Source organism: Homo sapiens, chromosome 17, assembly GCF_000001405.40.
Source record: "Homo sapiens chromosome 17, GRCh38.p14 Primary Assembly".
NCBI classification, from domain to species: Eukaryota; Metazoa; Chordata; class Mammalia; order Primates; family Hominidae; genus Homo; species Homo sapiens.
The window spans coordinates 56,938,199-56,965,626 of NC_000017.11; the positions used below are offsets into that span (position 1 = coordinate 56,938,199).

Here is a 27,428-nt window from a genome sequence, read left to right on the forward strand (position 1 = left end):
TTTAGTTCAATATGATTTTATTTAAAAATGTGTACAGCTGAAGGAGGGATCTGATCTTTTGTTAAATGAAACCAATTTTCACGGTATATATTTGGCCATTTTAGCTTCGTAGTGAATAATAACAGAAAAGGAAGTTTCTGTTCAAGATCCTCACTCCAGCACACTCAGCCAGGTGCCTGGCAAGATGACACATTTCCTGGTCTGAAGCTCACAGCCAATCCTCTCACTGAAGTGAAACACCAATTCTCCAGGCATACACACACATACGCACATCTTATTTTCACTGCTCTACACAGGGACCTGAGAATCCTTAATTTTAAAGTTGGGAAAAACGTGAAAGGATTCCTTAACTCATTGTCTGCGACAAATCCAACTACCTGTTAACTCTTAACAATTGCAAGTATAAAATACTTGAAATTTACAAGATGCTCCATTTAATGGAACAACTCAAATGCTAAAAAATTAGGTCAAATAACATGCTTTAATATTTTTAAATGTTACTTAAAACTTATTGAGACAAGATACGCAGCACATTCTTGGTATTATAAACTCCTACTGACGACTGCTACTTGATGGCCAAAAACATTTAAAGAAAGAGAAGAAACCATACTGGTATACAACAATATCTGCAGGGAATGTCATGTTTTACATTTTGTTAACTGAAATTAAACCTGACAAAAAAACCAAAGATCTACAAAACCGACACCCATGTCATTTTAAATGATGAGGTAGATTGTTTCCTATGCAGTAAAGTGAAGATAACAAAAAAATCCATACAACTTCCAAATCCTCTTTAAAAAAAAAAAAAAGTTTGGGTTATAGTCACTTTCACAAACAAGACATTCATAAACTATAAGGTGGAGAGGTCATACTCAGGCAGGTTCTGTACTTGATGTGTTACTTGGAGATTCAATAATCAGTCTTGGGTCAATCAACTCTTTCCAAAATACAGTGATCTGAGGAAAAAGACAAAATACCCAGTTTAGGCACTTCATTTTGAGGTCATACCGGTTAATTCAGCCACGTAAATTTTCCGTCTGTGTAGAATGATTGAAGAACGGGAATAATTTGGGTTCCAATAAACTGAGTTCAATTGCAGTATAGTAACTCTTTAGGCCAGGCGCTGTGGCTCACACCTGTAATCCCAGCAATTTGGAAGGCCGAGGGGGAGAAATGCTTGAGCCCAGGAGTTCAAGATCAGCCTGGGAAACCTAGTGAGACCCCATCTCTATTATTTTTTTTAATTAAAAAACAAAACAAAAAAAAAGAGGCCAGGCATGGTAGCTCACGCCTATAATCCTAGCACTCTGGGAGGCCAAGGCAGTCGGATCATCTAAAGTCAGGAGTTCAAGACCAGCCTGGCCAACCTGTGTCTCTGCAAAAATACAAAAATTAGCCGGGCATGGTGACGCATGCCTGTAGTCCCAGCTACTCGGAAGGCTGAGTCAGGAGAATCGCTTGAACCCAGTAGGTGGAGGTTGCAGTGAGCGGAGATCGCGCCACTGCACTCCAGCCTGGGTGACAGAGTGAAACTCTGTGCTGGGAAAATAAATAAATAAATAAATAAATAACTCATTTACTTAGAATGAAGCTAAATTTTACATTAAACATATTTCATCTTTCTTTGATTAAGAGCAGGAGATGCAGGGGTTGCGGGAGGGAGTAGCTCCCCCAACCCCTGCATTTGATTTGCCCTGTGGACAGGTGGCCTGGAGACCTTCTGGCAACTAGACATGGTCCAGATGGGTATCATTAGGCTGCTGATGCCCTTTTGCGCCGCTCTGTAGTTCTTATCCTACACTACCTAAAAACAGGAACTATTTCACAGCCCACCAAGAGAAAAACTCTAAGGCTTGGTCCTATGAATGAATAATGAGGGCCATCTAGTGTCAAAAAAGGTAATTACAGGCTTTTTGTTTTTGAGATAGGGTATCACGTCTATAGTCCAGGCTGGAATGCAGTGGCATTCAGGACTCACTGCACCTTCCACCTCCTGGGCTCAAGCGATCCTCCTGCCTCGCCCCCACCACCCCCAAAGGTGGCTGGGACTACAGGCATGTGTCACCACTCCCGGTTAATTTTTGTATTTTTTTGTAGAGACGGGGTCTCGCCATGTTGCCCAGGCTGGTCTTGAACTCCTGGACTCAAGGGATCGGCCCGCCTCAGCCTCCCAAAGTGCTGTGATTACAGGCATGAGCCACGGTGCCCAGCCTAATTACAGGCTTTCTATTCTACTTCAAGTCTCTGTTTAGGGCATAGAGAGAAAAGCCTCCAAGGTTTAATTTTCCAATGCGGTTTCCAATTTCAACCAAAAAAAACTATTGCAAATAAAGAAATACAGGAGACCAGGCCAAATCTGCTGATCCTACCACAAACACTAAAAATGTGTTTCTGGAATAAATCCCTAAAAGTGTCATCTACCTTAAAGACAAGGTAAAACACAGTCTGGCTAGGGTTTCTACAAGTTCACACTTCAGAAAAAATATGTTTGCAATATTGAAACTTACAGAATAATATCTATAACATTTCAAGTATAAACACCTTAAAAGAGAGCATTTTCTTAAATCTAACTTCCATTTAATGCCACCATAACCTAATGAGCTAGCCACTGCCAGCAACTCTGGTAGGTCTGGCTGCTTAAAAAGGTATAAATCGGCCGGGCGCGGTGGCTCACACGTGTAATCCTAGCACTTTGGGAGGCCGAGGCGTGCAGATCACGAGGTCAGGAGATTGAGACCATCGTGGCCAACGCGGGGAAACCCTGTCTCTAGTTAAAAAAATACAAAAAATTAGCCAGGCGTGGTGGCAGGCGCCTGTAATCCCAGCTACTCGGGAGGCTGAGGCAAGAGAATGGTGTGAACCCGGGAGGCGGAGCTTGCAGTGAGCGGAGATCACGCCACTGCACTCCAGCCTGGGTGACAGAGCTAGACTCTGTCTCAAAAAAAAAAAAAAAAAAAAAAGGTATAAACCATATACTTCCCAAAATGGCAATTTAAGGATTTAAAGAAAGTCAGAGGATGAGATCATCATTTTATGTCACTCTTCAAACTGTTGTGCTATTATAAGTTGGAACTCTCGGGCCAGGCATGGTGGCTCACCCAGGCACGGTGGCCTGTAATCCAACACTTTGGGAGGCCTAAGTGGGCAGATCACTTGAGGTCAGCAGTTCAAGACCAGCCTGGCCAACATGGTAAAACCCCGTCTCTACCAAAAATATAAAAATTAGCTGGGTGAGGTGGCAAGCGCCTGTAATTCTAGCTACTCCAGAGGCTGAGGCATGAGAATCGCTCGAACCTGAGAGGTGGAGGTTGCAGTGAGCCAAGATCATGCCACTGCATTTCAGCCTGGGCAACACAGTGAGACTCTCTCAAAAAAACAAAAGTTGGAACTGTGGTAACACTTGGGGGATAGTGGTGACAGCAAGGGGACATAATAGAGGCTTCTGGGAGTGGGTGTTATGTTCTATTTCCTGATCTGGGTCTGGTTACATGGGTATGTTCATGTGAAAGTTGTTCAAGCCATGTAGTTATATGCACTTCTCTGAACGTGTATGCCAATAAAGTTTCTAAATATGCTACCCTTTCCTACTGGAATCCTTATATAGCTATAATTTTAAACAACTGTACACTCTTAAAGAAAAGTTTGTTATTTGTGCATCTTGTCACATAGGCTCTATGAGGGCCAAGATGGCGCCCTGATTTGGCACTGGTATTGCCACACCATAAGAAGGTCAGATTCCCCCCAGGGCCTGTAGTGCAATGTCACCTTCCAAACCACAGGTAATTGGTCAAGAGAGAACGAATGGCCAAGCAACGCAAGAAGAGAAGCACACCTACCTTGCTCTCCTGTGTCACAGCGTACTCCACTACCTCGGCTCCATTTTCATTGTGATAAACTAAATCAAATTTCCCAGGTTCTCTCAAGGCTGAAACAAGAAGATAGGGAGGAAAGAGAGTAAGTCATTTTTCAATAGTTAAAAATGTTCCTCTATGGGGAATTTATATCATTAAGAAAACAACCACAAACAAACTGTCAATTAATGTGAAGGCTGGGTATGTACAGGAAAGCACAGGGTGCTCAATACTGGGGGATCCTGAGAAAAACTCTGGACCAGGGGGACTTCTCAGCCATTTATCAGAGAAAATCTTTCCTTCATAAGCTTGATGAACTGTCATTAGTACTACCAGAATTGAATATGGCACCACAAGATAATCCCCAAAATTAATTAATTTATGTGTTTCAACAAGGGAAGGTAATATGAAATGCTGCTCTGTCCTTAGAAATCACATATGCTTCCTACTACTTGGTAACACAGGCAGTCCCCCTTTTTTTTTTAAGACAGAGTCCTGCTTTATCGCCCAGGCTGTAGTGTAGTGGCGCAATCTCGACTCACTACAACCTCTACCTCCTGGGTTCAAGTGATTCTTGTGCCTCAGCCTCCTGAGTAGCTGGGATTACAGGCATGCACCACTATGCCCAGCTAATTTTTGTATTTTTAGTTGAGACAGGGTTTCACCATGTTGGCCAGGTTGGTCTCAAACTTCTGGCCTCAAGTGATCTGCCCGCCTCGGCCTCCCAAAGCGCTGGGATTACAGGCGTGAGCCACCACACCCGGCCTCAGTCCTTGCTTTCTATGGTAAAATGGGATTGGAAAAATGACTGTGCAAGCTGAAACCACGCAAAACAATCTTAATAATCAATAGGAAAAATTATTATCGTCTTACGAGTTTTAAAAAATTTTGCCAAAACATTAAAAACCTTTACTACATAGGGAAATTAAAAAATAGTAAAATAAATATATTGTACTTATGAGTACACTGTAATTACATTAGGAACACTAAGAACTAACTTTCTTTTTCTCTTTCCTTCTACACGTTTTATTTCTTTGTAAGAAACTTATCAGGGGGAGTTTGAACAGTGCTTGTGTTCTTGCCCTGTAACTTACAATACAGAGCAAGCATCTTCTCTATGCTTTGTGCAACTGTTATACTCTTTTCTAAGTTTGAAACTGCTTTCTACATTTTATCCTTTGAACTTCTAATGTCGTGAAATAGCTCAAAGAATTTGTTTTTTACTTTGTAAAATCTTTGTTTTTGCTGGTGTCACTTTGGGGACATTTTCATCCTTTTTGCCACAACCACTTTCCTCATTTATGTCAATAAGTTCACCTCACTGGCAGTGTCAACATTCCTACAGTGAGCTATTTCTTCTACAGACTCTCCTTAAACTCAGTTTGGATGGCACTTTCAGCATTACCACTTTTGTTTCTTTGCTGTGCCTTTATCTTTGTGGGCCAATTCCCTACTTCGATTATACGTGTTGTAAAATGTCATGCAGGTTTATAAGTGAGAGACAAGGAGGCACCACAACTGCATGCTCTGCTCTGTATGTGAACTGAATAACAGATGCACAGTGACCAGTCACTGACGGACTCTGAAAGTACTGACTTGACTGGTAATGGATCATGACGCGTATCTGTTATTTATGTTATATAGTGATATGTGGACTAAAGAGCTAGCAGTACTTCATGCACTTACAGTTAACATATGCAATGTTGCTGGGGGACTAGTATTACTTAACTAAACCAGGGTAACTGAAATATATGTATATCAGAACCACCACATCAAGGACAAGTGACATTGCTATTAGAGAACAGATAAATCCATTTCTTTCTTTCTTTTTTGCTTTTGAGACAGGGTCTTGCTCACTCAGCCTGGAGTGCAGTGACGCAATCATGACTCACTGCAGCCTCGACCTCCTGGGCTCAAGTGATCCTCCCACCTCAGCCTCTCAAGTAGCGAGGACTACAAGCATGTACCACCACACTCAGCTATGTTTTGTTTTTTTTTTTTACGACAGAGTCTCACTATGCTGCCCAGGCTGGTCTTGAACTCCTGGGCTCAAGTGATCCTCCCACCTTCGCCCCCGAAGCCATTTCTTGATGCCCTAAAGAAGAAAAGTTCTAAGTGGATGTCATCACTATTAATCACCTGACAAGCACTGATCAGGCTGTATGCACAGAATTTGACAGTGGACAAACTTTTCTGTCCACCGTTCCTAAGAAAGGGGATTTCTATAAATGAAATCTCATCAGAAGAAAGGTTGGAAACCTGGCCAGGCACGGTGGCTCATGCCTGTAATCCCAGCACTTTGGGAGGCTGAGGTGGGAGGATCACGAGGTCAGGAGATCGAGACCGTCCTGGCTAACACAGTGAAACCCCATCTCTACTAAAAATACAAAAAATTAGCCAGGTGTGGTGGCGGGTGCCTGTAGTCCCAGCTGCTCGGGAGGCTGAGGCAGGAGAATGGCGTGAACCCGGGAGGCGGAGCTTGCACTGAGCCGAGATCGCCCACTGCACTCCAGCCTGGACAACAGAGTGAGACTCCATCTCAAAAAAAAAAGAAAGGTAGGAACCCAGTGTAAGTTATATATAAACATTTACTTAATATCATAAACGAACTTTGTTCAAAAACTCTTTCGACTGATTTCTGTTAGCTGAATCTTTTATTCAATCCCTTATCTAAAAATAAACAGAAGGCCAGGTGCGGTGGTTCATGCCTGTAACCTCAACACTTTGGGAGGCCAAGGTGGGTGGATCACGAGGTCAGGAGATCGAGACCATCCTGGCTAACATGGTAAAACCCCGTCTCTACTAAAAATACAAAAAATTAGCCGGGCATGGCGGCCAGCGCCTGTAGTTCCAGCTACTCGGGAGGCTGAGGCAGGAGGATGGTGCGAACCTGGGAGGCAGAGCTTGCAGTGAGCCAAGATAGCGCCACTGCACTCCAGCCTGGGCGACAGCAACACTCCGTCTCAAAAATAAACAAACAAACAAACAAACAAACAAACAGAAAACAGGCTGGGCACAGTGGCTCACACCTGTAGTCTCAGCACTTTGGGAGGCCAAGGCAGGTGGATTGCTTGAGGCCAAGAATTCAAGACCAACCTGGCCAACATGTCAAAATCCATCTCTACTAAAAATACAAAAATTAGCTGGACATGGTGGTGTGTGCCTGTAGTCCCAACTACTCTGCAAGCTGAGGCATGAGAATCACTTGAACCTGGGAGGCGGAGGCTGCAGTGAGCCAAGATTGTGCCACCACACTCCAGCCTGGGCGATAGAGTGAGACTCTGTCAAAAAAAAAAGGAAAACAATTAATTGCTTTAGGATCTTCTAAAGGAAAAGGAATCTCCCCTGCCCTCTGGCCAGGGACCCCTACAGTACACCCCAAGTTAAGCTACATATTATAAAAGCCCTCTTATTCCACGCATTCAGTTCCAGTACCAGGTGGGGTTCATCAGAGATAAATCCAGCAACCATTTAAAATGATATGTGAAAGTGTATGTATACACACACTTCAGACATTTTGTTTTGACTTAATATACAAAAGTATATTCATTTGACAATCTTTTGAAATAGAGCTGAGTAGGTCTTATGAGTTCACTGAATAGAGCTCTTTTTTTAATAAACCATACCATTGTATTGTCTGCAATTTCCACAATTTACAGTTTGGGGGTTTTTAAAATATTTTTTGAGACTAAGTCTTGCTCTGTCACTCAGTCTGGAAGGCAGTTGCACTATCTCGGCTCACTGCAACCTCCACCTCCCGGGTTCAAGCGATTCTCCTGCCTCAACCTTTCCAGTAGGTGGGATTACAGGCGTGTGCCATGACGCCCGGCTAATTTTTGTATTTTTAGTAGAGACAGGGTTTCACCATGTTGGCCAGGATGGTCTCAAACTCCTGACCTCAAGTGATCCACCAACCTTGGCCTCCCAAAGTGCAGGGATTACAGGTGTGAGCCACCGTGCCCAGCCTGGGTTTTTCTTAAATAAGGCAAGATTGCAAAAATTTGCAAGGCAATCTAAGTGCAGAATCTTCCTCAGTTTTTACAAAATTCCTCCCAATCTTTTATAGCTGACCCACTCATCCATAATTTCATAGCATTTCCTGAGTCAGCATTCAACTTAGGCTTCCTAGGAATAATTCTTTTTATAATCGATTTTCATCAGTTCATATAATCTTTTATGAAATTATATAATTACAGTAATAAGAACTAGCCCAACAGCTTTGGAATATATCCAACATCTCTTATGAGCCCCCAGGGCTAAAGTGTGCTGAAAGAAGTGGGGAGCGCCAGTTATATGGAGGCCAAGGAAGAGAACATCTCCTGTGTATAAAAGCTATTTATAAACCACTGTAGATAGAGCCTACATTTTCAAATTATTTTCTAAAAGACTCACCAGGTAAGGATGAAAGAATTTCTATATCTACTTGCTGGGTCTCTGGATTGTGGCTTAATATTCTTCCTTCCTTTCAAAAATAAAAGTCCAAGTCAAAATCAACATGTAAAACACTGTGAATATACTAAAAACCACTGAATTGTAGACTTTAAAATGGTTAAAATGTTGAATTTTATGTTATGTGAATTTTATCTCAGTTGAAAAATTTAGAAATAAATCCACATATAGAGAAAATAAAAACAGGTGGACTGATAAACACTTTATGTGAATATACAGAAATATCTTTAGAGGCAAAATAAAACATTTAAATCATAAATGGCAGACACTATCTTAAATAACTCGATGAAAGTAAAGATTACACCAGGGAACCAAAAGTGACTGAATAAGGGAAAAGGAGAAAAAAATCACACCAGGCTGATATATTCAAGTGAGCACTGACCATCACAGCATTCATCAGGAGAGACTAGATATATCCTAATGGTGCAGCCTCGGTTCCTGATGCTTTTAGAACCCTTCTAAAACAGTGATCACAACCCCCCAGGAGAAACCAGAAGGCACTTTATCACTGTTAAGATCCCAATTCTCCTTCTCCCAGGTCTCCAGCTGTGGGAGCTGATTTTCTAATGCATCAAGAGGATGCACTGCCCATGCACGTGGGCGATGGGGAGACACATGGTAGCCTCCGGGGGTATATACTGAGAGGCCAAGCAACCAGTTCCTCCTGCCTCTACCTGGAATTTCTGAGCACAGTCAACAGTTTTTTTTAAAACCAGACTCAACAGGGAATCAGGGGCTTGGGAGACTACATTTTTTAGTACAGAATTGAACCAATTTAATTTTTGGAGACAAGGTTAATGAATAAAGCAGATGATCAAGCTGGATAACTGCGTTTGAGGTCAAAGCAAAAAAGTAGGACCAATTTTCATTCTTAAAATGTTTTTGAAAGCAATTTCAAAAATCTTCAAAAAATTTTGCCAACTAAAGTAGGCAAAACACCTTCCAACATTAATAACTATGACAACTAATACCAATTTAATATGCAATTTTTTTTAAGAGTCTCGTTTTGTCACCCAGGCTGGAGTGCAGTGGCATGATCTCAGCTCACTGCAACCCCCACCTACTGCGTTCAAGTGATTCTTGTGCCTCAGTCTCCTGAGTAGCTGGGGCTACAGGTGCACGCCACCATGCCAGGCTCATTTTTATATTTTTAGTAGAGATGGGGTTTTGCCATGTTGGCCAGGCTGGTCTCGAACTCCTGACCTCAAGTGATTCACCTACCTTGGCCTCCCAAAGTGCTGGGATTACAGGCATGAGCCACTGTGCCTGGCCATTAATAAGCAATTTTTAAAAATCAGTATCATCTAGAATTACAATTTATAGAGGTTGTGGGATGTATCAATACAATATTCATTTCCATTTCCTCATATATCACACAATTAAATGTTTTCTATGGTAGGGTGACAAAACACCCTGGTTTGTTCAAGACAGGTCTGTACATCTTTCCAGCATAACTATTAATAGCATCCCTTTGACTCACAAGTATCCTGATTCAGGTGATAAATTACATGATCACCTCATCCATAGGAGATAGTAAGTGCCTAAGAAGATAAAAAACAAAACACCAACGACCTAGAACTAACCCACCAGATCCCTTCATTAACTGATTCTTCCAGCCTGCTTTTGAGGAAAGATTTTTTTTTTTTTTTTTTTTGAGATGGAGTCTCGCTCTGTTACCCAGGCTGGAGTGCAGTGGTGTGATCTCAGCTAACTGCAAGCTCTGCCTCCCGGGTTCACGCCATTCTCCTGCCTCAGCCTCCTGAGTAGCTGGGACTACAGGCACCCGCCACCATGCCCCGCTAATTTTTTTTTTTGTATTTTTACTAGAGACGGGGTTTCACTGTGTTAGCCAGGATGGTCTCAATCTCCTGATCTCGTGATCCACCCACCTTGGCCTCCCAAAGTGCTGGGATTACAGGTGGGAGCCACCAAGCCCAGCCTTGAGGAAAGGTTTCTATAAAGATTTTAAGTCTTCCAAGGCATCAATCCAGATTAAATCAAATTCCCTTGTATTTTATCTATGTTACTATATTAACACTACCAATTATTACCTTAAAAAATGGTCTTACATTCCATATAGTACATCAAAAAAAAGAAAGAATGCACTTTAACAAGATTTTCAACAAAATGTTGGTGGGTGAAAAAGAAACATGTAATTCTGTGATCCCTCTGACTGAGTCAAGCTTTTACTGAACTATGAAAAACCTCACATGCCAATATAAAGACTCATACAGATATTAAGTAAGTAAATTCCACGGATAATATTTATGAATTACCTGTGGTTACCTGATAATGCAGAAGAAATCATACTAGATCATAACAACCAGAAGTAATTCACAAATATGTAAAATAGATTCCCATGATGAAAATAATCAAATCTTCTTGCTGAGAACTATTTATTATTTTCTTTCAAAGTTTAGAATCATGAAGGAATGAATACCCAAATAAGTTGGTCTAAACTAATTAGAAAAAAGTAACTAAAAAAATTAAACTGGCTGGGCATAGTGGCTCACACCTGTAATCCCAACACTTTGGGAAGCCAAGATGGGGGGATTGCTTGAGCCAAGGAGTTTGAGACCAACCTGGGCAACATAGCAAGATCCTGTCGCTATTTAAAAACAAAAAATTAATATATTTTTTTTAAAAAAGTAAAAATTAAGCTCATCATTCTCCTACTCTATTCTTCCCAAGTATAAGGCAAATAACACAGGGAGACTTCCCAGTGATACTATTAAAGAGTTGACATTTCGATTAATGTTTTCATTTTCTACTTTCTGGCATTTTTATTTAGTAAAAAAACAAATCTGTATTATCCATACAAGTAGTATTAAATATGACTTTAGTTTTAATAATACACTGACAACTTACTTTTAAATAAACATCCTTACCTTGTAGTCAGAGACATCAGGAGAGTAACTGGATGTTAGCTCCAAAAGCTAAAAAAGAAGAAAAAACCCACAAATACATAAGCCCTCTTATCCTCTCCCATTCCCACAGCTCCTCCATCATGCCATGTTGGCGTGTCCACCCCGACCAGTCTGGGAGCCCTACCAGGAACCCGTAACAACACTGGGGTTCCAGTGGGAAGGGCTTTTACAAACACATTTAACCTGATTTTCTAAGTAAGTTTATTTGGAAGGGGAATGAACCTTTTTTGCTGTGACTGTTCTTTTGAAATATACCTTAAATGCAATCTTTTCTCCAACTTGAGGGGCAGCTGCTAACAGTGGTAACAGACTATAGTCCTTCTTGGGTGTCTCTACTGGATTCTGAAAAACAGTGTTAGTCATGTGACATCATCACTGGTGAGAAAATGTGAATCCATGACATGAACTCCACACACATTCTAAGGGGAAAGGGAGGAGATAACTTACAAAAAATAATACTTACCTGGATAATAGTAGATGAATTTTTTACCACGTCATTTAATTGCTGTTGCCTCTGGTTGTCAGTGCTTCTATTTACAACACAGGAAACAGGATGCCCTCGTCCTCGACCTCTCCCCCGCATGCCCCGTCCCTTAGCTCCCTTCCAAGAAAAAAGGTTCTCTTCTCTACCCCATCCTCTTCCTAAACTAGCAGGGAGAGACACACTGGGAGAAGCACCAGGAGCCTGTCCACCACCATTTGAGCCAGAACGCCTCCATCCAGCAGCACCTGCAGTCTGTGATGACAGCCCTGGGCCTGGACGACCTCTTCCTGCAAAAAGGCCTACTGTCTTTAAGAAACCCGCAGCACACTCCGGGGTGCTCGATGACATCAAGCATTGGTCGTCTGACTCTGCACTAGAGTCTGAACTGGAAGATGTTGTTCCAGAGGTCTTGCCCTTGCTGGGGGTAAGGCTAAAGCCAAGTTTTATAGCCAGTTTGTCTGCAGTTGTATTTTTGGTAGAGGGTTCTTCCTTTGATAACTCAGTTGGTAATTTCTCTGAGGAATTTCTGGCCTCCAAAGTGACTTTGCTGGGACCATCACTGATAGATTCATCACAAGATTCAGACTCCGAGGAGGAACTGGGACTCTCTTTTGAGCAAACGCTTACACTACCTTTCCTTTTGGCTTTAACAAGGCTGTTTCTAGCAGAACCTTTTGGAGAACTACATCTCTGATTGGCCCAGTCTTTCACTGCCTGTACTTTCGGAGACTTGGGATTCTTAGCCTTTTTTTTATATTCACATTTCTCCTTTTTCTTTGGTGATTTTCTTTTGGCCTCTTCGTTATCATCACCCACTGTGCCACAGGTTGCTTTATTTTTTCTCTTGTTTTTTTTGCTGACAGTCTGATCTGTGACAGCTTTTGGTTCCAGATCCAAGACCTTCTCATTATTGTTATTGTTCTCTCGACTCTTCCAATGCTTCTTTGAATATTTGCAATCTGGTTCAGTTTCTTCACCCTCCTCTAACTGAAATGCCCGCTTCTTTGCTTTTCTAAGAGATAAATTAATGTCACCATTACTGATGACTACAGAATTCTCAGCAACTCCTCTCTCTTCTAATTTAACTCTGTCAAAAGAACAAGAGAGAAAGCTAGAGTGAGCAATTTATAAACACATCTCCAGGACATAGTTATATACTGAGATGACTCTACAAAATGTAACTACCATCAGTCAATGAAAAAATGTCACATCACTTAAAGACAAAAGACTCTTTCTGGCAAAATGGCCTATGTAGCATTACTCACAGTCAACTTTCAAATGGCTAGTTTTATTTATTGAATAGCTACTGCATCCTAAACATTTTTAATACGTTTTTCTCTAATCTAAACACCAACACAAAGTAGGTATTTTTAATTTTACAGATCGCAAAATTACAGCTCAGACAAGTTACTTGCCCCAAATCTAGAGCTGATAAGTAGCAGAAACGCAATTCAAACTTCAGTTTGTCTAACTTCAAACTCACAATCTTTCTACAATATGCATGTCACCTACCCTAAAAGGTGATAATGCTGATTATCCATTTTGTTTCAGAATGTGGGCTTCTTTCTTTAATAAGATTTTACTCCTGTTTTAATTTAGGTGAATACTAAACAATTTATGTTCTCTAGGGTAGTGACAGCCATCTGTACAATTCCACAACACTCTGTGAAGCTTAATTTTATGTATCAATTTGTCCGGGCTATTGGACGTCCAGATATCTGGTTAAAATTACGCTGGCTCTTTCCATACCACCACAGTGGTGCACATGAATGTCTTGGCTGATGCTCTCAAGAGCATCAACAAAGCTGAAAAGCAAGGTAAATGCCAGGTTCTTATTAGGCCGAGCTCCAAAGTAACTGTCCGTTTTCTTTTTTTTATTTTTATTTTTCTTTTCTTTTTTTTTTTTTGAGACGGAGTCCCAACTCCGTCACCCAGGCCAAAGTGCACTGGTGCATTTCTCAGTTCACTACAACCTCTCCCTCCCAGGTTCAAGAGATTCTCGTGCCTCAGCCTCCCAAATAGCTGGAATTACAGGCGCCTGCCACTATGCCTCGCTAATTTTTGTATTTTTAGTAGAGATGGGGTTTTGCCATGTTGGCCAGGCTGATCTTGAACTCCTGGCCTCAAGTGCTCAAGTGATCTGCCTACCTTGGCCTCTCAAAGTGCTGAGATTACAGGCATGAGCCATCGCACCCAGCCCCATCGTCCAGTTTCTAACTATAATGATGAAGCATGGTTACACTGGCAAATCTGAAACCACTGATGATCATAGAGCTGGGAAAACTGTTGTGAACCTCACAGGCAGGCTAAACAAGTATGGAATAATCAGCCTCAGATTTGACGTGCAACTCAAAGATCTAGAAAAATGGCAGAATAACCTGCTCCCATCCCACCAGTTTGGTTTCACTGTACTGACAACCTCGGCTGGCATCATAGACCACGAAGAAGCAAGACGAAAACACATAGGAAGAAAAATCCTGGGATTCTTTTTATAACGATGTAATACGTATTTACAAATATATTGCCTCAGTGGAAAAAAAATTATGCTGGGAGTATGTGCAAGGTTGTTTCTGGATGAGATTAACATTTAAATTGCTAGACTGAGTAAAGTACATTGCCGTTTCCAATGTGGGTGGGCCTCATCCAACCCACTGAAGGCCTGAATAGAACAAAAAGACTGAGTAAGGGAGAATTCATTTCTCTGCCTGACTCTTCAAGCTGGGACATCGGTCTTCTCCTGCCTTCAAACTCGAACTTGAACTAGAAATATACCATTGGCTCTCCTTGGTCTATAGCTTACTAAGTGAACTTAGGACTTCTCAATCTCCACAATCCTATGAGCCAATTCCTTACAATAAATCCCATGTCTGTGAGTGAGTATTTGTGTGTGTGTGTGTGTGTGTGTGTCTTACTGGTTATGTTTCTCTGAATAACCCTACTTCATCCAAAATTTCACTATAGGAAAGCAATTTTGTTCCTCCATCAACAGGCAACAGCTAATCCTAGTATGTGCAGTCTGATGATGATGGAAGTCTTGAGACTGTCCTCAATGTTAAGCAAATTGTGAGTACTCAAAAATGCCTGTTGGCCAGGCACAGTGGCTCATGCCTATAATCCCAAAACTCTGGGAGGCTAAGGTGGTAGGGTGGCTTGAGCCCAGGAGTTTAAGACCAGCCTGGGCAACATAGGGAGACCCTGTCTCTACAAAATACAAACATCAGGCTGGGCACGGTGGCTCACGCCTGTAATCCCAGCACTTTGGGAGGTCAAGGTGGGTGGATCACAAGGTCAGGAGATCGAGACCATCCTGGCTAACACAGTGAAACCCCGTCTCTACTAAAAATACAAAAAATTAGCCAGGCGTGGTGGCGGGCGCCTGTAGTCCCAGCTACTCGGGAGGCTGAGGCAGGAGAATGGCGTGAACCTGGGAGGTGGAGCTTGCAGTGAGCCGAGGTCACACCACTGTACTCCAGCCTGGGCAACAGAGCAAGACTCCGTCTCAAAAAAAAAAAAAAAAAAAAATACAAACATTAGGTAAGTATGGTTGGTGCATGCCTGTGGCCCAGCTACCTGAGGTAGGAGGATCACTAGAGCCCAGGAGGTCCAGGCTGCAGTGAGCTGTAATTGCGCCACTGCTGAAAACACACATTATACTTACAAGGCATTTACATTCAGCTATATATTTCATCAAGTTTTTTCAGTGGCCAGGGAAAGATGTAGACAATCATATTTGAAAATAAAGAACAACTGGTGAATGATAGGAGCATATGTGACAAGCATTCTTTAAATTTTTTAAGGCATAGTAATCCTGTGGATTTACCTCAATGCGGTAGTTGAAAAAAATCCTCAATTATTTGTCAGAAAACTAACTATACAGACAAACAAATCAAGATAAAATAAGAGTTACTGATATCAGGAGTAGGAGAAAGAGACAAATAAAATGCTGAGTGACCAGGGATTTTAAATTATAAAAACACATTCCCCTCTGTTCCCAGCTTGGCATCTAATAGCAAGGAAATAATTCTTAATCTGGCAAAAGCCAGTTTGGCATCCTGTGAATCTAAGAACTACCATGGAAGCGCTACAATATCAGATTTTTTTCTTGACATTTCTGATCAATTTGTTTTCACTTGTAGCAATGATCCAAGCTTCAATTCTGAGATGACCAAATAGGACCAAACTTTCTGTCAAATGTTGAAAATGGTTGCAAGTCTCTGTTCAGTCACTGTGGTTTATTAAGGCCCTGGAAAACAGCACATGTAACATCCAGTTGATGAGAACCCCTTCCTTTCCTGGAAGCTGGCAACACCCTCACGCCTTCCAAAACAGCTCTTAGCATCGTCTCATCCATTCTTAAGACCATGCATTGGCCGGGCGCGGTGGCTCATGCCTGTAATAATCTCAGCACTTTGGGAGGCTGAGGTGGGCAGATCACAAGGTCAAGAGATCGAGACCAGCCTGGCCAACATGGTGAAACCCAGTCTCTACTAAAAATACAAAAATTAGCTGGGCATGGTGGCATGCGCCTGTAGTCCCAGCTACTCGGGAAGCTGAGGCAGAAGAATCGCTTGAACCCAGGAGGCAGAGGGTGCAGTAAGCCAAGATCACGCCACCGCACTCCAGCCTGGCGACAGATAGAGACTCTGTCTCCAAAAAATAAAAAAAAAAAGACCATGCATCTACAGCTATTTGGCTTGAAGGTATGACCTGTGATTCCTGCAGCCCCACTACCTACTGTTCCCCAAGAGAATAATTTCAGTTTTTAAAATATTAAGATTATAAACTGGTGTGGTGGCACATGCCTGTAATCCCAGCTACTCAGGAGGCAGAGGGAAGATCACTTGAACCCAGGAGTTCAAAACTAGCCTGGGCAACACAGTGAGCCCTCATCTGGGAAGAAAAAAAAAAAGAAAATATTAAGATTGAGAGGCAAAATACCATCCAGAGAAAAAGAAATGGTTCTCCTGGGTCTGCTTAGTTACCATTCCTGTCAGGTGCACCTTCCCTGGCAATATTCTCTATTTCTTTACCTGGATCACAGACAAAGAATAGAGCTATCCTTTTACAAACAAAAGTGCATGCATTTGTCCTTTCACAAGTAGAAGTGAATTACCTAGGTCACTAGTGACGAAAGAGTTGATTCCAAAAAACAGATCCCCACTTTTCTTTTTTCGAGATGGAATTTTGCTCTGTCGCCCAGGCTGGACTGCAGTGGCATGATCTGGGCTCTCTGCAACCTCCTCCCCTTGGGTTCAAGCGATTCTCCTGCCTCAGCCTCCCAAGTAGCTGGGATTCCAGGTGCCTGCCACCACGCCTGGCTAACTTTTTGTATTTTTAGTAGAGATGGGGTTTTGCCACGTTGGTCAGGCTGGTCTCGAACTGACCTCAGCTGATTCGCCCGCCTCGGCCTCCCAAAAGTGTTAGCATTACAGGCGTGAGCCACCATGCCCAGCTATCCCCACTTTTCATTCTAACTCTTTGCAAGGCAAACTGAGTGGTATTATCAAAATCTAAGTCCACCCTTAAAATCTACAATTTACTGTCTAGGATTCTGTTATGCAGAAACACTGACATGCCCATCTGTCCAACCTGATGCTCCCTACCCATTGCCTGCCAAGGCCAACGTGAATGCCTGGGTTCAAATGCTATTTCTGCCACTGTAATTTTTTTTAAAATCATTACCTCAGCCTTTCTCATCTATAAAAATGGGGATAATGACAATAATTACAGTACTCAGTGACTTATTATGCAGAGAGAGCATGCCTGACTCAGAACAAGTGATATCCAAATGTTAGCTCTAATTTTTATTAGTACAATGAATGTTGTTAGTCCTATCATGGGTAAGTTGGTGAATTTTTAAAAGTTGTACAAGTCTGTACAACTTTTCTGGAAGCTAATTTGACAGTACTTATCAATTTTTATATGTACCTTCTCTTAGACCAATGAGTATTTCTTCTAAGAATAAATCCAACTGAATAATTTTCCAAGTACAAAAAAAATACAAGAATATTCACTAAAGCACTATGTAGCAAACAGAAAAGAATGACATACATCACACACTTTATATACTGAGATAGCCCATGATAGGTAAAAAAGCAAGGTGCAGAACAGTATGTTATGATATTTGTAGTTTAAAAGTATAAGTACATATGGTTGCACATGTATAGAAATCTGGCTCTAAGATATACCCCATACCCCAAACTTAACCAAGGATACTTCTGGAGAGTGAGGTGTGGGAAAAAGTATATGATAAAAGTAGTAGGAAACTTTTTATCTTGGACTATCCAAGGAGCCACTAACTACAGCAATATGAAATGAGAACTCGTCTCTAATATTTTGTTTTGTTTGAGATGCGGTCTTGCTCTGCTGCCCAGTCTGGAGTGGAGTGACACGATCATGGCTCACTGCAGCCTCAACTTCTGAGGCTCAAGTGATCCTCTCACCTAAGCCTCCCAACTAGCTGGGACTACAGGCATCCATCACTGAGCCTAGCTAATTTTTTTTGTTTGTTTTTTGGGGTTTTTTTGGTAGAATAAGGGTCTCCCTGTGTTGCCCAGGCTGCTCACAAACTCCTGGACTCAAGTGATCCTCCCACCTCGGCCTCCCAAAGTGTTGGTATCACAGGCATAAGCCAACATGCCTGGCCCATCTCTAACATTTAATCAATGTGTTTTTTTGTTCGTTTGTTTGTTTGTTTTTTGAGGTAGGGTCTCACTCTGTCGCCCAGGCTGCAGCGCAGTGGCACCATCTCAACTCACCGAAGCCTTTACTTCCCAGGCTTAAATGATCCTCCCACCTCAGCCCCTCAAGCAGCTGGGACTACAGGCATGTGCCACCATGCCCAGCTAATTTTGTTGTATTTTTCTGTAGACATGGGGTTTCACCATGTTGTCGAGGCTGGTCTCGAACTCCTGAGCTCAGGCAATCTGCCTGCCTCAGCCTCCCAAAGTGCTGGATTATAGGCATGAGACATGGCGCCCAGCCTTCATCAAGTATTAATTGCCAGAGTTAAAAGGGTCAGGGAAGACAGAATGCACTGTTTCCTTACAGAATTGATTCTTCAAAAGGGAGTTTCTCAGGCCGGGGGCAGTGGCTCAGGCTTGTAGTCCCAACACTTTGGGAGGCCAAGGCGGGAGGACTACTTGAGCCCAGGAGTTTGAGACCAGCCTGGGCAACTTAGTGAGACCTCTCTACTAAAAATAAAAAACTGCACCTGTAGTCCCAGCTACTCAAAAGGCTGAGGCAGGAGGAGCCCTTGAGCTCAGGAGTTCGAGGCTGTATAAGCCAAGGTTGCGCCACTGCACTCCAGCCTGGGCAATGGAGTGAGACCCTGTCTCAAAAAATAAGGGAGTCTCTCTGAATCTACTGTAATTCTGAGGGCTGCACGATTAAAAAAAATTTAAAAATTAATTAAAAAAAATTAAAAACCGCCAGACACAGTTGCTCACTCCTGTAATCCCAGCACTTTGGGAAGCTGAGGAGGGCAAATCACTTGAGGTCACAAGTTCGAGACCAGCCTGGCCAACATGGTGAAACCCCATCTCTACTAAAAATACAAAAAAATTAGCCTGGCATGGTGGCGGGTGCCTGTAATCCTAGCTACTCGGGAGGCTGAGGCAGGAGAATCGCTTGAACCTGGGAGGCAGATGTTGCAGTGAGCCAAGATCGTGCCACTGCACTCCAGCCTGGGCAACAGAGTGAGACTCTGTCTCAAGAAAAATAAATAAATTAATTAATTAATTAAAATAAAATAAAAAAACCAAATCTGCCAACACCCTGATCTTGGACTTGTAGTCTCCAGAAGAGTAAGAAATAAATTTCCATTTTTTAAGCCATACAGTCTGTGGTATTTTGTTATAGCAGCCCCAGCAAACTAACACAGGGGGCTCCAAGCCAATAGAAGCACCTCCTCCTCCTCCCAGGACAGTTAGAGACCACCTTTAGGAACTCGCTGTCAGAAACCTGGGGGCAGATGAAGCCAGATTCCTGGGGCTTAAGAGAATGGGCTATGAGGAAACAGCAGTGGAACACAAGTGTGTGGTGCATCCAAAGCCTCAAAGGCTGTTTCTCAGGATTCCCACAACCTAGTTCCACTTTTCCTCATTAGCCTTCTCAGTACTGCCAATGATCCCAACAGAATGCTTTGGCTGGTCAGACTCATCTTTTTACCAAGTCCAGCCAGCTTTTGTCTCTATAACTGTGCTTTGATCATCCAACATTTCCCACCCATTCTTCAAGGTACTGCTCAATTCCCTAACCATTTTGTTCCATGCTGATCTCCCTTTTCTCAACCAGCTTCTGCACTTACCATATAACTTGGTCTAACTATTCAGTCTAATTGTCTGTATCACAGAAGGTAATATACAAAAGCATGAGACTCATTATTTGGGTCCCAGTCCAACAATATTGGGTACTTTGAGAATAGAGACTATGTGTTCTTCCGTAGCTCTGAAGAAAAGTGAATTTGCCAGGGAAAAACAATGATTGTGGACATAAAACAACAAAAACAAAGACGAACTTTCCAGATTCATCTTTTTCTACGGTCTGCCCATTTGCCACTGAAGCCACTAGAGAGGTATTTTTTGCCACATGCAGCTGTGCATTTGAAGCATTTAGGAAAGATTTGCCTGTCATCGTGTTGTAATTATTACTTATAACAGTTTTCATGGTTTGTTTTTGTCATTGTTAACTTCATTATGAAGAATGTAATGCCCACATGATTCATTAAAGTATAATTATAGTTAGCACAAGTTATTAACTCATTAGGCAAGAGACAGTTCAGAAAGTAAACTTAATAGGATGGGACACAATCCTTAGAATTGTAACATTTAAATAATCCTTGAATTGCAGAGAGAATAGAGACCTATTTCACAGTCAATAAAAAGGGGGAAAAAAAACTCTTTGAAATTTGGATTATTTCAAATTGTCATTTGAAACAGTTGAACATTATTCAATAAATCATAATATCCTGATTTAAAGATGCAGTTACTGTTCCAAATTAAATTCCCTGATGTTCTGAAGAAATCTTACGGAATCTGACATGCTTGAGGGTAAGGAATATTCAACGACAAAGGGCAGCAAGAGAAAATAGCCTGGTTCACAACTCTGGAATTAATTCACTGTAGCTGAAGCTTAAAGGGGGTGGGGGAAGGAAGGCTGGCACAGTGGCTTACGCCTGTAATCCCAGTGCTTTGGGGGGCTGAGGTGAGAGGACAGCTTGAGCCCAGGGATTCGAGACCAGCCTGGGCAACATGGCGAAACCCTGTCTCTACAACAAATACAAAAATTAGCCAGGCGTGGTTGCCTGGCCTGAAGTCCCAACTACTCGGGAGGCTGAGGTGGGAGGATTGCCTGTGCCCAGGAAGTCAAGGTTACAGCAAGCTATGATCGTACCACTGCACTCCAGCCTGGGCATGGGAAACCCAGTCTCTTTATTTAAAAAAGAAAAAAAAAAGTCTGAATAAATCAGTCCAAGATATGAATCCAAACTGGAATGATCAGATACCATCATCTTACTGTGGCAACTCAACCACATTTCAGCAATTCACACTACAATTGCTCCTGGATACTCATCTCATTATCATTTTTTTAACTTCCAAAAGCATATTTAAGATTATTTTGTGTTTCCCAATTTACAGCCCAAAAGGACTCAAGACACTTATTTGAGAGAATCCCAAAATGTCTGGGTGAGACACAAAATGATACGCCACCAGAAGTCTCAGGGGACACTGGGCACATGAGAACTAAGGCTGGACAACAGCAGGTTATGAAGAAAACACAACGATTCCCCTTTGTCAGCTTCCTGCACCTGACCCTGAAGGCCGCCATGGGTAAGGCCGGGTCTCCGGCACATCTGCACCATGGGCACGCAACAGAGTCGCACAGTGCCTAGCTAAGCGCGGATGTGCTAAATCAAGGCTGAAAGAAAGCCTGGCCCTGCCCTTAGGCATCAGGGATTTTCCAAGTTTGATTCTCCTGTCATCAGAAGCATCCCGGGAAGGATGCTCGTTACACTGCAGATTCCAGCCAGGCGCGGAGGCTCACGCCTGTAATCCCAGCACTTTGGGAAGCCGGGAGGATCACTTAACGTCAGGAGTTCAAGACCAGCCTGGCCAACACGGTGAAACCCCGTCTCTACTAAAAATACAAACAAACAAACAAAAAATTAGCCGGGCATGGTGGCGCCCGCCTGTAAGCCCAGCTACTCGGGAGGCTGAGGTGGGAGGATCGATTGAACCCGGGAGGTGGAGGCTGCAGTGAGCTGAGATCGCGCCACTGCACTCCAGCCTGGGTGACAGAATGAGACTCAGTCTCAAAAATAAAAATAATAGGGGCAGGATGCGGTGGTGCACGCCTGCAATCCCAGCACTTTGAGAGGCCGATGCAAGCGGATCAACTGAGGTCAGGAGTTCGAGACCACCTTGACCAATATGGTGAAACCCCATCTCTACTAAAAATACAAAAATTAGCCGGGCGTGGTGGCGGACGCCTGTAGTCCCAGCTACTCGGGAGGCTGAGGCAGGAAAATTGCTTGAACCCGGGAGGTGGAGGTTGCAGTGAACCGAGATCGCGCCACTGTACTCCAGCCTGGGTGACAAAGCAGGACTCCGTCTCAAAAAAAAAAAAATAATAATAAAAAATAATAATAAAATGCAGATTCCTGAGCCCCAAAGTTGACTACACCAATCAGGATCTCCGGGGTTCGCGAACGTGCATTTTTACAGCCCCACCCCCCTCCAACCCTCGTCCCCTTCCCCATCCCCCATCCCCTCCACTACCAGGTCTAGCGGCTTCAGGCCCGGGCGTGCGCAGGCGCGTCCCCCGCCCGCCGCCCACCCGGCCGTCCCGCTCCCTGCGCCGCGCACCTGAGGCAGTCGTTGTCTCTCACAAGGCGCGCGCTCTCGGCGGGGGGCAAGAGCCCCCCCTCCAGGTAGAGGCCTAGGAAGGCCCCAGAACTGAAGCCGAAGCGCTGGCGGATGAGACTAATGAGATCTGTGACGACTCGGCATCTGTTCAAGTCGACCAGAAGCCAGAAGGCCGTACAGTGCGGGGTAGCTGGCGGCGGGTAATCAAATTGAAGCCGTAGCCTAACCGTCTCGGAAGCTGCCATCTTGCTTGGTGCTCAACGGAAGCCGAGAGATACCACGGGGCCACCGAGAGGCGTGCTCGGGCGGCTCGCCCCCGCCGGAGCCTTTGGCGTGTGCCACCTAGTGGTGAAACCTGGCTACTACAGGCTGCGTCTAGGCGAGAACTCGGAGCGTGGTTGATTTCATTCAATTTTGTTCACGGCAGGGCTGAGGAAGGGAATAAGTGAAATGCCTTTATTACATTTCTACTGGGCGCTATGTAGGGTCTCCTAATTAAGGCAACTCTCTGGATAAATAACATTTCTCCTCAGCAGTAGTCTTCTAAGATATTTGCTCATCGACGTGAAAGATTTTTATAAAACAATCCTAACACATTTCGCTGACAAAATTTTTCATCATGATGAGTTGAAAAAGATGTAAGTCCTAGTGTGTTCTCAATGTTGAAATTTTGAAATAACACTGTTAATCATTCTTCCAAATGTATCCAGTGGAATATAAATACCTTAGCCTTTTAATACCCACCACCAAACAAAAATGTCCTTGCATTTCTCACCAGATAAATAAATCAGTATTTACATTATTTCTTCTATTTTTTGAACTAGAATTTACATTTCTCCACATAATATATATTAACTCCTTTAATTTTCATAACAAAAGTTAGGAATTATGAACTGTTATCCTTATTTAGAGGATTTAAAAAAAACAAGGTTCAGAGAGTTTAAGAAGTAACTAGAGGCCAGGAGCAGTGGCTGACGCCTGTAATCCCAGCACTTTGAGAGGCCAAGGTGGGCGGATCACTTGAGACCAGGAGTCTGAGACCACCCTGGCCAAAATGGTGAAACCCCAACTCTACTAAAAATATAAAGATTAGCCGGGTGTGGTGGCATGTGCCTATAATTCCAGCTACTCGGGAGACTGAAGCAGTAGAATCGCTTGAACCCAAGAGGTGGAGGTTGCAGTGAGTCAGGATCGTGCCACTGCACTCCAGCCTGGGCAATAGAGCAAGATTCTGTCTTAAAAAAAAAAAAAGGAGTAACTTCCCCAAGTTCACTAGACTAGTTAAGTTGTAGATACCAGGGAGTCAGTAGATGAATTGAAAACAAAATTTTTTAACTGAAAGTAAGGGTTTTTGGATTTTCTTTTTTTAGAGTCTTGCTCTGTCACCTAGGCTGGAGTGCCGTGGTGCACTCTGCCTCCCGGGTTCAAGTGACTTCCCACCTCAGCCTTCCTAGTAGCTGGAACCACAGGTGTGAGCCACCAAGCCCAGCTAATTTTTGTATTTTTTGTAGAGATAGGGTTTTTCCATGGTGGCCAGGCTGGTCTCGAATTCCTGAATTCCAGCAATCTGCCTGCCTTGGCCTCCCAAAGTGGTGGGATTACAGGCATGAGCCACCACCTCCGACTAAAATCAAGTTTATTAGAGAATTAAAGGAATAAAAGAATGACTACTCCATAGACAGAGCAGCGAGCCCATACTATAAGTATACTCAGTCAAGTATACTTATAGTTACTTCTTGACTGTATGCTAAACAAAGGATGGATTATTCATGAGTTTTCTGTATCCCTAGGAAAGGGGCAGGGATTTCCCTCAGAACTGAGGGTTACTCCCCTTTTACACCATACAGGATAACTTTTGGGCATTTCCGGCTGGGCGCAGTGGCTCACCCCTGTAATCCCAGTTTCTCCACATCCTGACTACCATTTGGCATTGTCACTATTTTTTAGTCATTCTGGTAGATGTGTTGTGGTATGTTGTGGTTTTATTTATTTGTTTGTTTGTTTTGAGGCTGGGTCTCATTATGTCTCCAGTGCTGAAGTGCAGTGGCGTGATCACAAGGCTTACTGCAGCCTTCACCTCTGAAGCTCAAATGAACCTCCCACTTCAGCCTCCTGAGTGGCTGGGACTACAGGCATGCACTGCCATGCCCTGCTAAATTTTGTAATCTTTGTAGAGACGGAGTTTTGCCACATTGCCCAGACTGGTCTCAAACTCTTGGGCTCAAGCTATCCTCCCACCTCAGCCTCCCAAATATTGGGATTACAGGCATGAGCCACCATGCCCAGCCTCTTGTGGTTTTAATTTGTATTTTCTAATGGCTAATAATGTTGAACATTTTTCCTGTGTTTATGTGCTTCTTCAGTGAAATTCTCTTCAAGTCTTTTACATCTACTCTTATTAGATTGTTAAATTTTGAGAGTTCTTTATGTATTCTAGATAGTAGTACTGAGGCAGGAAAATAGGATCTGGAGGCAGGGAACATAAGGCCAATTCACACTTCAGCTGTGACAGGAAATATCCTCTTCATTTACATAGGGCATACGAGGAGTAAATGACTTTCTAACTTTACCTCATCCTCTCCATTTACATAGGACATACACCAAGAAACCAGTGGAAACCTCTGGAGGGTATTTAAGCCCCCAAAAATTCTGTAACAGGGCCCTTGAGCCCCTATGCTCGGGCCTGCTCCCACCCTGTGGAGCGTACTTTCATTTTCAGTAAATCTCTGTTTTTGTTGCTTCATTCTTTCCTTGCTTTGTTTGTGCGTTTTGTCCAATTCTCTGTTCAAGATGCCAAGAACACCCTCCACCAGTAACAGTACTTTGTCAGATATGTGGATTGCGGATTATTTTCTTTGACTCTGGAGCTTTTTTTTTTTTTTAATCATTCTCTTAATAGGGCCTATCACAGACCAAAAGTTCTAAATTGTGATGAAGTCTGGTCGATCAATTTTTTCTTCACTGCTACCTCTGCCTCCCAGGTTCAAGTGATTCTCCTGCCTCAGCTGCCCGAGTAGCTGGGGACTACAGGCACCCGCCACCACGCCTGGCTAATTTTTGTATTTTTAGTAGAGATAGGGTTTTACCATGTTAGTCAGGCTGGTCTTGAACTCCTGACCTCCGGTGATCTGCCCACCTCGGCCTCCCAAAGAGCTGGGATTACAGGCGGGAGCCTCTGTGCCCAGCCTGTTTGTTTTTTGTTCTGTTGTCCAGGCTGGAGTGCAGTGGCAAGATCATAGCTCACTGCAGCCCCTACTTTCTGGGCTCAAGCAATCCTCCCAGCTCAGCCTCCCAAAGCAGTGGAATTACTCGTGTGAGCCATAGCCTGAGTTAATTTTTGTGTAAGAGTTATATCAGCGTTCATTTTTGTTTGTTTGCTTGCCTCTTGATGTCCAATTGCTCCAGTACTATTTGTTAATAACACTATATGTCCTCCATTTTGAATCTTTTGAATGTTTGTCAGAAATCAGTTGGGCATATTTGTGTACATCTATTTCTGGATTCTCTGTTCTGTTTCATTGATCTATATGTCTTTCCCTCCACCAACACCATACAGTCTTTTTTCTTTTCTTCTTTTCTTTTTTTATTGAGAGGGAGTCTCACTCTGTTGCCCAGTCTGGAGTGCAGTGGCGTGATCTTGGCTAACTGCAACCTCTGCCTCCCAGGTTCAAGCAGTTCTCCTGCCTCAGCCTCCCGAGTAGCTGGGACTATAGGTGCGCACCACCACGCTAGACTAGTTTTTGCATTTTTAGTAGATACAGGGTTTCATAGGTGTACACCACCATGCCAGGTTAATTTTTGCATTTTTAGTAGATATAGGGTTTCACCATGTTGGCCAGGCTGGTCTGGAACTCTTGACCCCAAGTGATCCACCCGGCCTCCCAAAGTGCTGGGATTATGGGCTTAAGCCACCGCGCCTGGCCCTTGTTTTCTTTTAGAGACAGATTGCGCCCACAGTGCAGAGCAGTGGTGTGATCATAGCTCACTGTAGCCTCAGACTCCTGGGCTCAAGTGACCCTCCCAGTTCAGCTTTTCAAGTAGCTAGGACTACCATGTCCATTAATTTTTAATTTTTTTGTAGAGATAGTGTTGGACTATGTCTTCCAGACTGATCTCAATCTCCTGGCAGGTGCCACCACGCCTGGCTAATTTTTTGTATCTTTAGTAGAGACGGGGTTTCACCATGTTGGCCAGGCTGGTCTTGAACTCCTGACCTCAAGTGATCCGCCTGCCTTGGCCTCCCAAACTGCTGAGATTACAGGCGTGAGCCACTGTATTTATGCTTTGCCCTAATTGCTTTAGCTATTCTACTTCCTTTTCCTTTTCTTATAAATTTTAAAATAATGTTGTTTGTGTATATCTCCAAAAAATCTTGCTGCGATATTGGTAGAAATTGTGCTACACCTATATATTAATTTGGTATGAATTGACATCTTTAGGATGTTGAGTCTAAATCCATGAACACATTATGTCTTTCCATTTATTCAGCTTTCTGATTTCGTTCATCAGCGTTGTGTGGTTTTAAGCATACAAATCCCATACAGGTGTTGTTAGATGTCCGGACTCCAAGTGCCAGTTCCTTCCTGGTGTTCAGCCACTGCGTTGATCCTCCACAGGGGCCTGCCATGCACTGCTCTGATGAGGCATTCCACCAGGGCAATTGCCTACCAGGGACTGCTCTCAGGATCCATGTCACTCAAGCTGGCTGGAGTCCCCCGCAGGGATGCTCCACAGGGCAGGCCTAAGCTACCTAAGGGACTGCCTCAACTGTCCGTTAATCACCTCGCTTCCCGGTCAGGGAACCAAGAAATGTAGCAGAACAAGCCACACACAAAACCCCTCAGACACCGAG

At 43.2% G+C, this 27,428-nt stretch overlaps 1 protein-coding gene, 1 long non-coding RNA gene and 1 pseudogene across 4 annotated transcripts in view, besides 4 other annotated features; 2 read left to right on the forward strand and 1 right to left on the reverse strand.

The window, feature by feature from the left end:
• COIL (coilin) lies at nucleotides 1–22,852 on the reverse strand. Its single transcript, NM_004645.3, has 7 exons — nucleotides 22,577–22,852; nucleotides 11,691–12,798; nucleotides 11,483–11,569; nucleotides 11,189–11,236; nucleotides 8,244–8,313; nucleotides 3,837–3,925; nucleotides 1–956 (listed from the first exon to the last, which is right to left on the reverse strand). The coding sequence occupies exons 1-7, from the start codon at nucleotides 22,819–22,821 to the stop codon at nucleotides 873–875; spliced, it is 1,731 nt and encodes a 576-aa protein (NP_004636.1). The 5' UTR covers nucleotides 22,822–22,852; the 3' UTR covers nucleotides 1–872.
• Nucleotides 13,450–14,245, forward strand: LOC100419768 (ribosomal protein S15a pseudogene; annotated as a pseudogene).
• Nucleotides 22,454–22,563: a silencer, noted in NCBI's record as "silent region_8742". NCBI's record gives its function as "represses an Ori minimal core promoter by ATAC-STARR-seq in GM12878 lymphoblastoid cells {active_cell/tissue: GM12878}" and the evidence as "EXISTENCE:reporter gene assay evidence [ECO:0000049][PMID:35858748]".
• Nucleotides 22,690–22,984: an enhancer, noted in NCBI's record as "tiled region #7909; HepG2 Activating DNase unmatched - State 1:Tss, and K562 Activating DNase unmatched - State 1:Tss". NCBI's record gives its function as "activates a minimal TATA promoter and a strong SV40 promoter by Sharpr-MPRA in HepG2 and K562 cells {active_cell/tissue: HepG2 | K562}" and the evidence as "EXISTENCE:reporter gene assay evidence [ECO:0000049][PMID:27701403]".
• Nucleotides 22,734–22,873: an enhancer, noted in NCBI's record as "active region_12421". NCBI's record gives its function as "activates an Ori minimal core promoter by ATAC-STARR-seq in GM12878 lymphoblastoid cells {active_cell/tissue: GM12878}" and the evidence as "EXISTENCE:reporter gene assay evidence [ECO:0000049][PMID:35858748]".
• Nucleotides 22,884–22,933: an enhancer, noted in NCBI's record as "active region_12422". NCBI's record gives its function as "activates an Ori minimal core promoter by ATAC-STARR-seq in GM12878 lymphoblastoid cells {active_cell/tissue: GM12878}" and the evidence as "EXISTENCE:reporter gene assay evidence [ECO:0000049][PMID:35858748]".
• The window catches only part of LOC105371836 (uncharacterized), a 14,860-nt gene continuing 10,381 nt past the window's right edge, over nucleotides 22,950–27,428 (forward strand). For all 3 annotated transcript variants that reach the window (XR_934875.4, XR_001752945.3, XR_934874.4), the window contains exon 1: nucleotides 22,950–23,214. This is a non-coding gene — a long non-coding RNA (uncharacterized LOC105371836). The remainder of the gene's footprint in view (nucleotides 23,215–27,428) is intronic.